This window comes from Homo sapiens, chromosome X (assembly GCF_000001405.40).
Source record: "Homo sapiens chromosome X, GRCh38.p14 Primary Assembly".
NCBI classification, from domain to species: Eukaryota; Metazoa; Chordata; class Mammalia; order Primates; family Hominidae; genus Homo; species Homo sapiens.
The window spans coordinates 1354763-1370995 of record NC_000023.11 but is presented as its reverse complement, the minus strand read 5'-3'; the positions used below and the strand labels follow the sequence as shown (position 1 = coordinate 1370995).

Below are 16233 nucleotides of genomic sequence, written 5' to 3'. Positions count from 1 at the left end.
TCTTCTTATGAGATGTCTTAGTCCATCTCAGGCTGCTGTCACAGAATACCAGAGGCTGGGCGGCTTAGAAACAAAACACATTGATTCTCCCACAGCCCTGGAGGCTGGAGGTCTGAGATCCAGGTGTGGGCAGTGCTGGTTCCTCCTGAGGCCCCTCTCCTGGGCTTGGAGATGCCGTCTTCTCCCTGTGTCCTCACAGGGTCGTCCCTCTCTGTGTGTCTGTGTCCTCGTCTCTTCTTATGAGATGGCTTAGTCCATCTCAGGCTGCTGTCACAGAATACCAGAGGCTGGGCGGCTTAGAAACAAAACACATTGATTCTCCCACAGCCCTGGAGGCTGGAGGTCTGAGATCCAGGTGTGGGCAGGGCTGGTTCCTCCTGAGGCCCCTCTCCTGGGCTTGGAGACCCCGTCTTCTCCCTGTGTCCCACAGGGTCGTCCCTCTGTGTGTGTCTGTGTCCTCATCTCCTCTTCTTATGAGATGTCTTACTCCATCTCAGGCTGCTGTCACAGAATACCAGAGGCTGGGCGGCTTAGAAACAAAACACATTGATTCTCCCACAGCCCTGGAGGCTGGAGGTCTGAGATCCAGGTGTGGGCAGGGCTGGTTCCTCCTGAGGCCCCTCTCCTGGGCTTGGAGACGCCGTCTTCTCCCTGTGCCCTCACAGGGTCGTCCCTCTGTGTGTGTCTGTGTCCTCGTCTCTTCTTATGAGATGGCTTAGTCCATCTCAGGCTGCTGTCACAGAATACCAGAGGCTGGGCGGCTTAGAAACAAAACACTGATTCTCCCACAGCCCTGGAGGCTGGAGGTCTGAGATCCAGGTGTGGGCAGTGCTGGTTCCTCCTGAGGCCCCTCTCCTGGGCTTGGAGACGCCGTCTTCTCCCTGTGTCCTCACAGGGTCGTCCCTCTGTGTGTGTCTGTGTCCTCGTCTCTTCTTATGAGATGGCTTAGTCCATCTCAGGCTGCTGTCACAGAATACCAGAGGCTGGGCGGCTTAGAAACAAAACACATTGATTCTCCCACAGCCCTGGAGGCTGGAGGTCTGAGATCCAGGTGTGGGCAGGGCTGGTTCCTCCTGAGGCCCCTCTCCTGGGCTTGGAGACGCCGTCTTCTCCCTGTGCCCTCACAGGGTCATCCCTCTGTGTGTGTCTGTGTCCTCATCTCCTCTTCTTATGAGATGTCTTAGTCCATCTCAGGCTGCTGTCACAGAATACCAGAGGCTGGGCGGCTTAGAAACAAAACACATTGATTCTCCCACAGCCCTGGAGGCTGGAGGTCTGAGATCCAGGTGTGGGCAGTGCTGGTTCCTCCTGAGGCCCCTCTCCTGGGCTTGGAGACGCCGTCTTCTCCCTGTGCCCTCACAGGGTCATCCCTCTGTGTGTGTCTGTGTCCTCGTCTCTTCTTATGAGATGGCTTAGTCCATCTCAGGCTGCTGTCACAGAATACCAGAGGCTGGGCGGCTTAGAAACAAAACACATTGATTCTCCCACAGCCCTGGAGGCTGGAGGTCTGAGATCCAGGTGTGGGCAGTGCTGGTTCCTCCTGAGGCCCCTCTCCTGGGCTTGGAGACGCCGTCTTCTCCCTGTGCCCTCACAGGGTCGTCCCTCTGTGTGTGTCTGTGTCCTCATCTCCTCTTCTTATGAGATGTCTTAGTCCATCTCAGGCTGCTGTCACAGAATACCAGAGGCTGGGCGGCTTAGAAACAAAACACATTGATTCTCCCACAGCCCTGGAGGCTGGAGGTCTGAGATCCAGGTGTGGGCAGGGCTGGTTCCTCCTGAGGCCCCTCTCCTGGGCTTGGAGACGCCGTCTTCTCCCTGTGCCCTCACAGGGTCGTCCCTCTGTGTGTGTCTGTGTCCTCATCTCCTCTTCTTATGAGATGTCTTAGTCCATCTCAGGCTGCTGTCACAGAATACCAGAGGCTGGGCGGCTTAGAAACAAAACACATTGATTCTCCCACAGCCCTGGAGGCTGGAGGTCTGAGATCCAGGTGTGGGCAGTGCTGGTTCCTCCTGAGGCCCCTCTCCTGGGCTTGGAGACGCCGTCTTCTCCCTGTGCCCTCACAGGGTCGTCCCTCTGTGTGTGTCTGTGTCCTCGTCTCTTCTTATGAGATGGCTTAGTCCATCTCAGGCTGCTGTCACAGAATACCAGAGGCTGGGCGGCTTAGAAACAAAACACATTGATTCTCCCACAGCCCTGGAGGCTGGAGGTCTGAGATCCAGGTGTGGGCAGTGCTGGTTCCTCCTGAGGCCCCTCTCCTGGGCTTGGAGACGCCGTCTTCTCCCTGTGTCCCACAGGGTCGTCCCTCTGTGTGTGTCTGTGTCCTCATCTCCTCTTCTTATAAGGACCCCAGTCCTGTTAGATTAGGGCCCACCCTAATGACCTCATTTTACCTTAATCGCCTCTTTAAACACCCCAACTCCAAACACAGTCACATTCTGAGGTCCTGGGGGATCAAAGCTTCAACACACGAATTTTGAGGGAACACAATTCAAGCGATTCTCCTGCCTCAGCCTCCCTGGTAGCTGAGGTTACAGGCTTAAGCCACAGCACCTGACCTAATTTTTCTATTTTTAGTAGAGACAGGGTTTTTCCATGTTGGTCAGGCTGGTCTCGAACTCCTGACCTCAGGTGATCTACCCACCTCAGCCTCCCAAAGTGCTGGGATGGCAGGCATGAGTCACCGTGCCCGGCCAGAAGTTCTACTCTGAGGCGATCCTTTTGTTTTGTTGTTGAGATGGAGTCTCGCTCTTGTCGCCCAGGCTGGATGGAGCACAGTGGCGCGATCTCGGCTCACTGCAACCTCCGCCTCCCGGGTTCACGCCATTCTCCTGCCTCAGCCTCCCGAGTAGCTGGGACTACAGGCGCCCATCACCACGCCTGGCTAATTTGTTACATTTTTTGTAGAGACCGGGTTTCACCGTGTTAGCCGGGATGGTCTCGATCTCCTGACCTTGTGATCCGCCCGCCTCGGTCTTTATTACAAGGCCCAGGGGGTGTCTGTCAGTGGGACGACCTTGTTTCCCCTCCACGTCTCCTCTCGTGAGTAAGAGCAAGCTGTGAGTTCACCGTCGGGTTCAGGGTCCTTTTTGGGGTCACAGAAACTGGGGGAGTGAATCTCCTCTCCTTTGCAGGAGAGGAGTGTTTCCGTGACCCAGGATGGCGCACCCCGCTCACCCCGCGCACCCCGCTCACCCGGCGCACCCCGCTCAGCCCGCGCACCCCGCTCACCCGGCGCACCCCGCTCACCCCGCGCACCCCGCTCACCCGGCGCACCCCGCTCACCCCGCGCACCCGGCTCACCCCGCGCACCCCGCTCACCCCGCGCACCCGGCTCACCCCGCGCACCCGGCTCACCCGGCGCACCCCGCTCACCCCGCGCACCCCGCTCACCCCGCGCACCCGGCTCACCCCGCTCACCCCGCGCACCCGGCGCACCCCGCGCACCCGGCTCACGCCGCGCACCCCGCGCACCCCGCGCACCCGGCTCACCCCGCGCACCCGGCTCACCCCGCGCACCCCGCTCACCCCGCGCACCCCGCTCACCCCGCGCACCCGGCTCACCCCGCGCACCCCGCGCACCCGGCTCACCCCGCGCACCCCGCTCACCCCGCGCACCCGGCTCACCCCGCGCACCCCGCTCACCCGGCTCACCCCGCTCACCCCGCGCACCCGGCTCACCCCGCGCACCCCGCGCACCCCGCGCACCCCGCTCACCCCGCGCACCCGGCTCACCCCGCGCACCCGGCGCACCCCGCGCACCCCGCGCACCCGGCTCACCCCGCTCACCCCGCTCACCCGGCGCACCCCGCTCACCCCGCGCACCCGGCTCACCCCGCGCACCCCGCTCACCCCGCGCACCCGGCTCACCCCGCGCACCCCGCTCACCCCGCGCACCCGGCTCACCCCGCTCACCCCGCGCACCCGGCTCACCCCGCTCACCCCGCGCACCCGGCTCACCCCGCGCACCCCGCGCACCCCGCGCACCCCGCTCACCCCGCGCACCCGGCTCACCCCGCGCACCCGGCGCACCCCGCGCACCCCGCGCACCCCGCGCACCCGGCTCACCCCGCGCACCCCGCTCACCCCGCGCACCCGGCTCACCCCGCGCACCCCGCTCACCCCGCGCACCCCGCTCACCCCGCGCACCCGGCTCACGCCGCGCACCCCGCGCACCCCGCTCACCCCGCGCACCCCGCGCACCCCGCGCACCCCGCTCACCCCGCGCACCCCGCGCACCCGGCTCACGCCGCGCACCCCGCGCACCCCGCTCACTCCGCGCACCCCGCTCACCCCGCGCACCCGGCTCACCCCGCGCACCCCGCTCACCCGGGGCACCCGGCTCACCCCGCTCACCCCGCGCACCCGGCTCACCCCGCGCACCCCGCTCACCCCGCGCACCGCGCACCCCGCTCACCCCGCTCACCCGGCTCACCCCGCGCACCCGGCTCACCCCGCGCACCCGGCTCACCGGGCTCACCCCGCGCACCCCGCTCACCCGGGGCACCCGGCTCACCCCGCTCACCCCGCTCACCCCGCGCACCCGGCTCACCCCGCGCACCCCGCTCACCCCGCGCACCCCGCTCACCCCGCGCACCCCGCTCACCCCGCGCACCCGGCTCACCCCGCGCACCCCGCTCACCCCGCGCACCCGGCTCACCCCGCGCACCCGGCTCACCCGGCTCACCCCGCGCACCCCGCTCACCCCGCGCACCCGGCTCACCCGGCTCACCCCGCGCACCCGGCTCACCCCGCGCACCCCGCTCACCCCGCGCACCCCGCTCACCCCGCGCACCCGGCTCACGCCGCGCACCCCGCGCACCCCGCTCACCCCGCGCACCCCGCGCACCCCGCGCACCCCGCTCACCCCGCGCACCCCGCGCACCCGGCTCACGCCGCGCACCCCGCGCACCCCGCTCACCCCGCGCACCCCGCTCACCCCGCGCACCCGGCTCACCCCGCGCACCCCGCTCACCCGGGGCACCCGGCTCACCCCGCTCACCCCGCGCACCCGGCTCACCCCGCGCACCCCGCTCACCCCGCGCACCGCGCACCCCGCACCCCGCTCACCCCGCTCACCCGGCTCACCCCGCGCACCCGGCTCACCCCGCGCACCCGGCTCACCCCGCGCACCCCGCTCACCCCGCTCACCCCGCGCACCCGGCTCACCCCGCGCACCCCGCTCACCCGGGGCACCCGGCTCACCCCGCTCACCCCGCTCACCCCGCGCACCCGGCTCACCCCGCGCACCCCGCTCACCCCGCGCACCCCGCTCACCCCGCGCACCCGGCTCACCCCGCGCACCCCGCTCACCCCGCGCACCCCGCTCACCCCGCGCACCCGGCTCACCCCGCGCACCCGGCTCACCCGGCTCACCCGGCTCACCCCGCTCACCCCGCTCACCCCGCGCACCCGGCTCACCCCGCTCACCCCGCGCACCCGGCTCACCCCGCGCACCCCGCTCACCCCGCTCACCCCGCGCACCCCGCTCACCCGGCTCACCCCGCGCACCCGGCTCACCCCGCTCACCCCGCGCACCCCGCTCACCCCGCTCACCCCGCGCACCCCGCTCACCCCGCTCACCCCGCTCACCCCGCTCACCCCGCGCAGCCGGCTCACCCCGCGCACCCGGCTCACCCCGCTCACCCCGCTCACCCCGCGCACCCCGCTCACCCCGCGCACCCCGCTCACCCCGCGCACCCCGCTCACCCCGCTCACCCCGCGCACCCCGCACAGCCCACTCACCGAAGCGCTGGGGGGTGCTCCAGGCGCTCAAGAATTCATACACTCTTTCCCGGGCTCTTATTTGTACTGTGTACGTTCCAGGATTGAGTAGCTGGAAGGAGGTTCTGTCTCTGACCTGTGGTTTGAAAGAAAATAAAGAAGAGGGGCCAGGTATGGTGGCTCATGACTCTCACCTGGGCACTTAGGGAGGCCAAGGCAGGTGGATCACCTGAGGTCAGGAGTTCGAGACCAGCCTGGCCAACATGGTGAAACCCTGTCTCTACTAAAAATACAAAAATTAGCCTGGCATGGTGGCAGGCACCTGTAATCCCAGCTACTCAGGAGGCTGAGGCAGGAGAATAGCTTAAACCTGAGAGGTGGAGGTTGCAGTGAGGCGAGATGGCACCACTGCACTGCAGCCTGGGCAACAGAGTGAGACTCTGTCTCTAAATAAATAAATAAATAAATAAATAAATAAATAAAAGAAGAAAAGAGGGGCTGGGTGCTACGGTTTATGCCTCTCACCACAGCACTTTTGGAGGCTGAGGTGGGAGAATTCCTTAAGCCCAGGAGTTTGACACCAGCCTGGGCAACATAGCAAGACCCCATCTTTACCAAAAAAAAAAAACTGTAAAAATTACCAGACGTGGTGACACATGTCTTTGGTCCCAGCTACCAGGGAGGCTGAGGTGGGGGGATACCTCGAGCTTAGGAGTTTGAGACCAGCCTGGGCAACAAACCAAGACCCCATCTCTAGAAGAAAATTTGTTTTGTTTTGTTTTGAGACAGAGTTTCACTCTTGTTGCCCAGGCTGGAGTGCAGTGGCACCAACTCGGCTCACCGCAACCTCCGCCTCCCAGATTCAAGCGATTCTCCTGCCTCAGCCTCCCGAGTAGCTGGGATTACAGGCGCCCACCACCACGCTCGGTTAATTTTGTATTTTTAGTAGAGTCGGGGTTTCTCCATGTTGGTCAGGCTGGTCTCGAACTCCCAACCTCCGGTGATCCACCCGCCTCAGCCTCCCAAAGTGCTGGGATTACCAGTGTGAGCCACCACGTCCAGCCAAAAAAAAATTTTTTTTTTTTTGAGATGGAGTCTCACTCTGTCCCCCAGGCTGGAGTGCAGTGGCGTGATCTCGGCTCACTGCAAGCTCCGCTTCCCGGGTTCATGCCATTCTCCTGCCTCAGCCTCCCGAGTAGCTGGGACTACAGGCACCCGCTACCATGCCCAGCTAATTTTTTGTATTTTTTTTTTTAGTAGAGACAGGGTTTCACCATGTTAGCCAGGATGGTCTTGATTTCCTGACCTCATGATCCACCCGCCTCGGCCTCCCAAAGGGCTGGGATTACCAGCGTGAGCCACCGCGCCCAGCCAAATTTTTTTTTAAATGAGCTGACCTGGTGGCAAACGCCTGTAGTTTCAGCTACTTGGGGGGCTGAGGCAGGAGGATCCCTTGAGCCCAGGAGGCAGAGATTGCAGTGAGCCGTGACTGTGCCACTGCACTCTAGCGTGGGTGACAGAGTGAGAGCCTGTCTGAAATTAAAAACCAAACAAAAAAGTAGAAGAAAAGACCATTCATATTTGATGGGTACAAAAGAATGAGTCTGCATTGTGATCCCCCAAAATTCATATGTTGCAGTCTTAGCCCCCAGCTCCTTACAGTGGGGCCTTATGATGAAATAGCTCGGCCAGGCGCGGTGGCTCACGCCTGTAATCCCAGCACTTTGGAGGGCCAAGGCGGGCAGATCACAAGGTCAGGAGATCGAGACCACAGTGAAACCCCGTCTCTACTAAAAATACAAAAAATTAGCCGGGCCCGGTGGCGGGCGCCTGAGGTCCCAGCTACTCAGGAGGCTGAGGCAGGAGAGTGGCGGGAACCCGGGAGGCGGAGCTTGCAGTGAGCCGAGATTGCGCCACTGCACTCCAGCCTGGGTGACAGAGCGAGACTCCGTCTCAAAAAAAAAAAAAAAAGAAGAAAAGACCATTCATATTTGATGGGTACAAAAGAATGAGGCTGCATTGTGATCCCCCAAAATTCATATGTTGCAGTCTTAGCCCCCAGCACCTTACAATGGGGCCTTATGATGAAATACCTGTTCATGGCAGATGTCGTTAAGATATAGATTGAGATGATGTCATTTTGGATCAGGGGGGGCCCTAAATGCAATGACCAATATCCTTATAAGAAGAGGAGACGTGGCCGGGCGCGGTGGCTGACACCTGTAATCCCAGCACTTTGGGAGGCTGAGGTGGGTAGATCACCTGAGGTCAGGAGTTCGAGGTCAACCTGAGCAACAAGGTAAAATCCCATCTTTACTAATAATACAAAAATTAGCCAGGCGTGGTGGTGTGCACCTGTAGTCCCAGCTACTCGGGAGGCTGAGGCAGGGGAATCGCTTGAACCTGGGAGGCGGAGGTTGCAGTGAGCTGAGATCGCACCACTGCACTCCAGCCTGGGTGACAGAGCGAGACTCTGTCTCAAAATAAATAAATAAATAAATAAAAAGGAGACACGGATGCAGAGGAGAAGGCCATGTGGAGACGGAGGCAGAGAGTGGAGTGATATGGCCACAAGCCCAGGGACCCCAGAGTCCCCAGGAGCTGGGAGAAGCGGGAAGGATCCTCATTAGTCCATGAAAATGGACTAATACAGGAGGACGGAGATAGAAACAGACAGGGAGAGACAGAGAGAGAGAAAGAGATACAAAGAGACACAGAGAGGGGAGACAGAGAGAGGGAGAGAGAAAAACAGAGACAGAAAAACAGACATAGACAGAGATAGTGGGTGATGGACAGAGAGAGACAGATAGAAACAGAGAGAGACAGAGATACAAAGAGACACAGAGAAGGGAGACAGAGGGAAAAAGAAAGAAAAACAGAAACAGACAGAGACAAAGAGACAGAGTAGGTGATGGACAGAGAGAGACAGAGATAGAAACAGACAGGGAGAGACGGAGATACAAAGAGACACAGAGAGGGGAGACAGAGAGGGAAAGAGAAAAAGAGACAGAAAAACAGAGAGACATAGACAAAGACAGACAGAGTGGGTGATGGACAGAGAGAGAGACAGAAACGGAGAGACAGAAAGACATAGATACAAAGAGAGAGGGAAAGAGAAAAACAGAAAAACAGAAACAGAGAGACATAGAGAGACAAAGAGACAGAGTGGGTGATGGACAGAGAGAGACAGAGATAGAAACGGAGACAGAGAGAGAGAGACAGAGATACAAAGAGACAGAGAGAGGGAAAGAAAAACAGAGACAGAGAGGAAAACAGAAGCAGAGAGACAGAGAGAGTGGGTGATGTAGTTTGGCTGTGTCCCCACCCAAATCTCATCTTGAATTGTAGCCCTTATAACTCCCACGTGTTGTGAGAGGGACTGGGTAGGACATAACTGAATCATGGGGGCAGTTTCCCCCCACACTGTTCTCGGGGTAGTGAATAAGTCTCACGAGATCTAATGGTTTAATAAGGGAAACCTTTCTCTCGGCTCTCATTTTTTTTTTTTTTTTTTTTTTCTCGAGACGGAGTCTCACTCTGTCACCCAGGCTGGAGTGCAGTGGCGCGATCTCAACTCACTGCAACCTCTGCCTCCCGGGTTCAAGCGATTCTCCTGCTTCAGCCTCCCGAGTAGCTGGGACCACAGGCGCCTGCCACCACCACGTCTGGGTAATTTTTTTTATTTTTAGTAGAGCTAGGTTTCACCATGTTGGCCAGGCTGGTCTTGAACTCCTGACCTCGTGGTCCACCCACCTCGTCCTCCCAAGGTGCTGTGATTACAGGCATGAGTCACTGCGCCCGGCGACTGTCTCATTCTGTCTTGCCCGCTGACATGTAAGACATGCCTTTCCTCCTCCTTCACCTTCTGCCGTGATCGTGAGGCCTCCCCAGCCACATGGAACTGTGAGTCCAGGAACCCTCTTTTGTTTATAAATTACCCAGTCTTGGGTATATGTTTATCAGCAGTGTGACAATGGACTAATACAGGGGGACAGACAGACAGAGGCAGAGAAAGAAAGAGACAATCACAGAGAAATAATGGGAGAGAGAAAGGGAGAGACATAGAGACAGGGGAATGGAGAGAGAGAGAGGGGAAGGGAGAGAGAGACAGAGAAGGAAAGGGAGAGAGAGACAGAGAGGGGAAGGGAGAGAGAGACAGAGAGGGGAAGGGAGAGAGAGACAGAGAGGGGAAGGGAGAGAGAGACAGAGAGGGGAAGGGAGAGAGAGACAGAGAGGGGAAGGGAGAGAGAGACAGAGGGGAAGGGAGAGAGAGACAGAGAGGGGAAGGGAGAGAGAGACAGAGAGGGGAAGGGAGAGAGAGACAGAGGGGAAGGGAGAGAGAGACAGAGAGGGGAAGGGAGAGAGAGACAGAGAGGGGAAGGGAGAGAGAGACAGAGAGGGGAAGGGAGAGAGAGACAGGGAGAGAGCTAGAAAGATAAAGAGAGGGGCCGGGCACGGTGGCTCACACCTGTAATTCCAGCACTTTGAGAGGATGAGGCAGGTGGATCGCCTGAGGTCAGGAGTTCGAGACCAGCCTGGCCCACTAGTGAAACCCTGTCTCTACTAAAAATACAAAAAAAAAAAAAAGTTAGTTGGGCATGGTGGCGAGTGCCTGTAATCCCAGCTACTTGGGAGGCTGAGGGAGTAGATTCGCTTGAACCTGGGAGGCGGAGGTTGCAGTGAGCCGAGATCGTGCCATCGCACTCCAGCCTGGGCAACAAGAGAAAAACTCCGTTTCAAAAAGAAAGATGAAGAGAGGGAAGGAGAAAGGGAGAGAGATACAGAGATACAGAGAGACTGGGAGAGGGGGAGATATAGACAAGGAGAGAGATAGAGAAAGAGAGGGAGAATGAAAGAGGGAGAGACAGAGACACAGATTTGGACAGTGGGAGATAGAGGCAGAGAGAGAGAGAGAGATAAAGAGAGGGAGGGAGAAAGGGAGAGAGATACAGAGACAGACACAGAGAGACAGGGAGAGGGGGAGATAGAGACCAGGAGAGAGAGAGAAAGATGGAGGGAGAAAGGGAGAGAGATACAGAGACAGACACAGAGAAAGAGATGGGGAGGGAGGAAATAGAGACCGGGAGAGAGAGAGAAAGATGGAGGGAGGGAGAAAGGGAGAGAGACACAGAGACAGACACGGAGAAAGAGACGGGGAGAGGGGGAGATAGAGACCGGGAGAGAGAGAGAAAGATGGAGGGAGAAAGGGAGAGAGATACAGAGACAGACAGAGAGAGAGAGATGGGGAGAAGGGAAGATAGAGACCGGGGGAGAGAGAGAAAGATGGAGGGAGAAAGGGAGAGAGATACAGAGACAGACACGGAGAAACAGACAGGGACAGTGGGAGATAGACACAGGGAGAGACAGAGAGATGGAGGGAGAAATGGAGAAGGTTACAGAGACAGACACAGAGAAAGAGATGGGGAGGGGGGAGACAGAGACCAGGAGAGAGAGAGAGAGAGAGAAAGAGAGGGAGGGAGAATAAAAGAGGGAGGGAGAATGAGAGAGGGAGAGACAGAGACACAGAGAGAGAGATGGGAACGGGGAGAGAGAGACAGGGAGAGAGAGATGGAGGGAGAAAGGGAGAAAGATAGAGACAGACACGGAGCGGGAGATAGAGACAGGGAGAGAAAGATAGAGAGAGGGAAGGAGAATGAGAGAGGGAGGGAAAGAGACACAGAGAGAGATGGGGACAGGGAGAGATAGACACAGGGAGAGAGCCAGAAAGATAGAGGGAGGGAAAAAGGGAGGGAGATACAGAGAGGGGGAGGGAGATAGAGACGAGAGAGAGAGAAAGAGAGGGAGGGAGAAAGGCAGAGAGATTCAGAGACAGAGAAAGAGATACGGGGAAAGAGATGGACAGAGAGAGAGGGGACAGAGAATGCTGTGGTCCGGCTGTCTGTTCCTGCAGATCCCAGGCAGGGGCTGGGGGAGGGTCCTCTGTCTGAGGTCTGGGCCACCTGTCTGAATGCTTGTCTCTGCTGGGTGGAGCTATGGTTTGGTAGCTTGTTCCTGCTGGACTGGGGCTGCCTGGCCCAGGGTAAGGAATCTGGGGCAAATGGGTGGACCTCGTTTGGACAGCACCTGGCCAGCCATAGCATCTGGCTCTCACACCTTGGGAGGTGTCATCCCTGACTCTTCCTTTTCCCATCCCTCAATTTGGGGATGTGAAATATCCCAATTTTGCAAGATCGCAGTAAGGGTGACACTCAAGAGTCTGTCCAATGAAAGTCACTGAACATTGAATAATAACATTTATTATTAATAATATTTTCATTATTTTATTAATAAGAATTATTAATATTTTTTATCATTTTATTCTTAATAATAATAAAACTCACCCTTTGCAATGTCAAGTACAGCGGCTGGGGGTAGGGAACACTCACCTGTTCTGTGATTACAGGCTGCATTCTCTGCAACACAAAAGCAAGCAAACTTTTGAGTGTCTGGACCGTCCCTGAAAGCCTCCTCCTCCCAAACTCAAATTTCTCCCTCCAGGAAAACCAGCAAAACAGTGAGGGCTCTGGGAAGGCCTTCGGGCAGCAGTGGGGGCAAAATAATGAGCTTAGGAGTAAATAGCACCTGACCAAAAGGTTTGTTTGTTTATTTATTTATGAGACGGAGTCTCACTCCGTCACCCAGGCTGGAATGCAGTGGCGTGATCTCGGCTCACTGCAACCTCCGCCTCCCGGATTCAAGTGATTCTTTTGCCTCAGTCTCCCGAGTAGCTGGGACTACAGGTGCGTGCCACCACGCCTGGCTAATTTTTTGTATTTTTAGTGGAAACAAAGTTTCACCATGTTGGCCAGGATGGTCTTGATCTCTTGACCTCATGATCTGCCCACCTCGGCCTCCCAAAGTGCTGGGATTACAGGCATGCCCCATCGCGCCTGGCCCAAAAGGTTTCTTATGGGCCACTGTGGCAAGACCTTGGTGGGAGGGGGCTTTGTGAGGCCGGTGGACAAACAAGACCCACCGTCCTCCCAGACTGTGTCCAGATGCACTCAGGGGTAGCCACAGACAGCCTATGCCAGGCCAGCGAACTAGGTAGGGGGTGCAACATCAGACTAGCTACGACTCTGCCTGTGGCTGCAGCTATGCCTGCTCCCTCAAATCAGTGAAAGAAAGAAGTCTGTGCTGTATTTATTTTCTTTTTTTTTTTTTCTCCTGAGACGGAGTCTCACTCTGTTGCCCAGGATGGAGTGCAGTGGCACAATCTCAGCTCGCTGCAAGCTCCGCCTTCTGGGTTTACGCCATTCTCCTGCCTCAGCCTCCCAAGTAGCTGGGACTACAGGCGCCCGCCACCACGCCCAGCTAATTTTTTTTTGTATTTTTAGTAGAGACGGGGTTTTACCATGTTAGCCAGGATGGTCTCTATCTCCTGACCTCGTGATCGTCCTGCCTCGGCCTCCCAAAGTGCTGGGATTACAGGCGTAAGCTACTGCACCCAGCCATTTATTTTCTTAAAAAAAAAAAAAACCCAAACAGATTGGCTAAAAAACACTTGGTAATATAAAAGAAATTAATAGACCTAACGTTTTTTAGCAGATTTAGACTTACAGAAAAATTGCATATGAAATAATTAGTATTTGAGCATAAATAATAAATATATGGCGGGGCACAGTGCCTCACGCCTGTAATCCCAGCACTTTGGGAAGCTGAGGCGGGTGGATCATGAGGTCAGGAGTTCAAGACCAGCCAGGACAAGATGGTGAAACCCCATCTCTACTAAAAATACAAAAAAAAATTAGCCAGGCATGGTGGCAGGTGCCTGTAATTCCAGCTACTCAGGAGGCTGAAGCTGAGAATTGGTTGAACCCGAGAGGCGGAGGTTACAGTGAGCTGAGATCATGCCACTGCACCCCAGCCTGGGCAACAGAGCAGGACTCCGTCTCAAAAATAATAAACAAACAAACAAACAAACAAACAGCTTGGGTGACAGAGCAGGACTCCGTCTCAAAAATAAATAAATAAATAATAAAATACAATAAAATAAAATACAAACTAAATATAACACATAGGCTGCGCACGAAGGCTCACACCTGTAATCCCAGCACTTTGGGAGGCCGAGGCGGGTGGATCACCTGAGGTCAGGAGTTTGAGACCAGCCTGGCCAACATGATGAAACTCTGTTTCTACTAAAAATACAAAAACTTAGCTGGGTGTGGTGATGGGTGCCCATAATCCCAGCTACTCGGGAGGCTGAGGCAGGAGAATCACTTGAACCCGGGAGGCAGAGGTTGCAGTGAGTCAAGATTTAAGCCACTGCACTCCAGTCTGGGCTACAGAGCCAGAGTGGCTCAATAAATAAATCAATATTTATGTTCAACTGATCCAACGAACTGTGGATCAAAAATATCTGGGAAGCTTGCATTGAATCTGTAGATCACTACAAAAGAAAAAAGAAAGTTCAAGAAAAAATTAAAAAACCACATAACAATAGAAATAATAAAAATAAAAAACAACAGACCACATACAGTCTCAAACTTTTTTTTTTTTTTTGAGACGGAGTCTCGCTCTGTCGCCCAGGCTGGAGTGCAATGGCGCGATCTCGGCTCACTGCAACCCCCACCTCCTGGGTTCAAGCAATTCTCCTGCCTCGGCCTCCCCAGTAGCTGGAACTACAAGACCGTGCCACCACGCCCAGCTAATTTTTTTTCGTATTTTTAGTAGAGACGGGGTTTCACCGCGTTAGCCAGGATGGTCTCGATCTCCTGACCTTGTGATCCACCTGCCTCAGCCTCCCAAAGTGCTGGGATGACAGGCGTGAGCCACAGCGCCCGGCCTTTTGTTTTTGTTTTTGTTTTTTAATGATCCATGCCTTCTGTGACGTTATCAGAGGAGATTGTTGCCCGTTTCAAGGCCCCAGAGTGCGACTTACCAAAAATAAGGGATGTCCACGGGGGTGGGGGGGCTGGGGGCGGGGTGAAAGTTTACCTTTTGTATCTGAAGCTCATAGCGAAATTTGCGATTGAAATGACTTCTCATTTTCCAGTGCATAAAGGAATGTGTCTTATTACACTTTGCAGTCATGTTGGGTGGAGTTAATATCTCTAGCAACGAGAAAAACACTTTTAGGATTTAGGAGTACAAGAAATCAATTCTTTTTCTTTTTCTCTTTTTTTTTCTGGAGATACTTCAAATTACTTCTCCTATGCATTTGGAGAGCGGGAGAGAAAAACACCAGGAAGGAAGAGGGAACAAAGAAACTCTACAGGCAGAGACACAGGACTGAGCCGCGTTGGGGGCACTGGGAGGAGTGAGCCTTGGGGTTGCACCCTCGGAGCCCCACTGTCCTGGGAGCAGCCTTCAGAACCACCCTTTTGTTCTCTGAAGTACCAGGCGTTCAGCTTTTCCAAGGACTGGCAGCTGCACATCTTTGTCCCTGCCCCTTCCATCTCTAGGCTCAGCCCCGCTGGGCAGCCTGGCCCACTCCCCACCCCTGCCCAGGGCCAACCCCTACTTCCCATGCCCCCTCTGCCCACCTGCAGCACACTGGAGCCTTGGAGGCCCTCTCTGCATCATTCAAGATGCAGACTCCTACACTTTGACCTGCACACATCCTCCTGAAGCTTCCACTTCCTGGCCCCTGCCTGGCTTCTCACCTCCCCCACCTCCGCCCCCCAGGGGATGTGCCGCCTCTCCCAGTGGCCCAGGACATCCTCCACTTCCCGGGAACCCCAGGCACTTCCACATCCTCAGGTGTGACCCGACTACCAGCCCAGCCCTGTGTGTCCGGCTGCCTGGCTGGGTCTCCCCTGGGCCCCTGGAAGGAAGTCCAGCCCTGGCCCCCTCCTCCTCCTCCCCCTCCTCCTACCCTCCTGGTCTTTCTCCCCTCCCCTCCCCTCCCCTCCTCCCCCTCCGCTCCTACTCTTCCTCTCTCTCCTTTTTCTACCACTCCTCTCTCCTCCCCATTCTCCTTGTCACCCTCCTCCTCCACTCTCCTTTCTCCTCCTCCCCTCCTGCCCCTCCTCCTTTTTCCTCCCCCTCCTGCTCCTCTTCCTCCATCCTCTCCCCTCCTTCTCCCTCCTTCCTCCTCCCCCTCCACCCTCCTCCCCCTCCACCCTCCTCCCCCTCCACCCTCCTCCCCCTCCTTCCTCCTCCCCCTCCTTTTCTTCCCTCTCCTCCTCCCTGCCCATTCTCCTCCTCCTCCTCCTCCTCTCCTCCCGCTCCTTCTTCCTCCTGCCCCTCCTTTTTCCTCCCCCTCCTGCTCGCCTTCCTCCATCTGCTCCCCTTCCTCCATCCTCTCCCCCTCCTTCTCCCTCCTCCCTCCTCCTCTCTCCCCTCCTCCCCCTTCCTCCCCCCAGTCCTCCTCTCTCCTCCTCCCCCTCCTTCTCCCTCCCCACCTCACCACCCTTCTACCCCACCTTCTCTATCCTCCCCTTCCTCCTCCTCACCTCCTTCTCTTCCCTCCCCCGCCTCCTCCTCCTCTCCATTCTCCTCCCTCTCTCCTTCACCCTCTTCCTCCTCCACCCTCTCCTCCTCCTTTCTTCCTCTTCTTTCTTCTCCTC

General features: G+C 57.1%; 1 protein-coding gene and 1 long non-coding RNA gene across 25 annotated transcripts in view; one reads left to right on the top strand and one right to left on the bottom strand.

Moving 5' to 3' along the window:
• IL3RA (interleukin 3 receptor subunit alpha) overlaps positions 1-16233 on the bottom strand; it is a 45905-nt gene that overhangs the window by 11694 nt on the left and 17978 nt on the right. For all 7 annotated transcript variants that reach the window (NM_002183.4, XM_005274432.2, NM_001267713.2 and 4 more), the window contains 3 exons: positions 14660-14775; positions 12109-12135; positions 5744-5858 (listed from right to left, as the gene is read on the bottom strand). In NM_002183.4, the coding sequence (NP_002174.1) occupies positions 5744-5858; positions 12109-12135; positions 14660-14775 (258 nt within the window). The remainder of the gene's footprint in view (positions 1-5743; positions 5859-12108; positions 12136-14659; positions 14776-16233) is intronic.
• The window catches only part of LOC101928032 (uncharacterized), a 41203-nt gene that overhangs the window by 7481 nt on the left and 17489 nt on the right, over positions 1-16233 (top strand). For 5 of the 18 annotated variants that reach the window (XR_007068376.1, XR_001755748.2, XR_001755754.2 and 2 more), the window contains exons 2-4: positions 2906-3040; positions 5825-5893; positions 14856-15424. This is a non-coding gene — a long non-coding RNA (uncharacterized LOC101928032). Of the gene's footprint in view, positions 1-2905; positions 3058-5824; positions 5894-9246; positions 9626-11520; positions 12463-14855; positions 15425-16233 lie in introns of those variants that run through there. The other 13 variants (XR_007068372.1, XR_007068373.1, XR_007068377.1 and 10 more) reach the window with 11 other exon arrangements.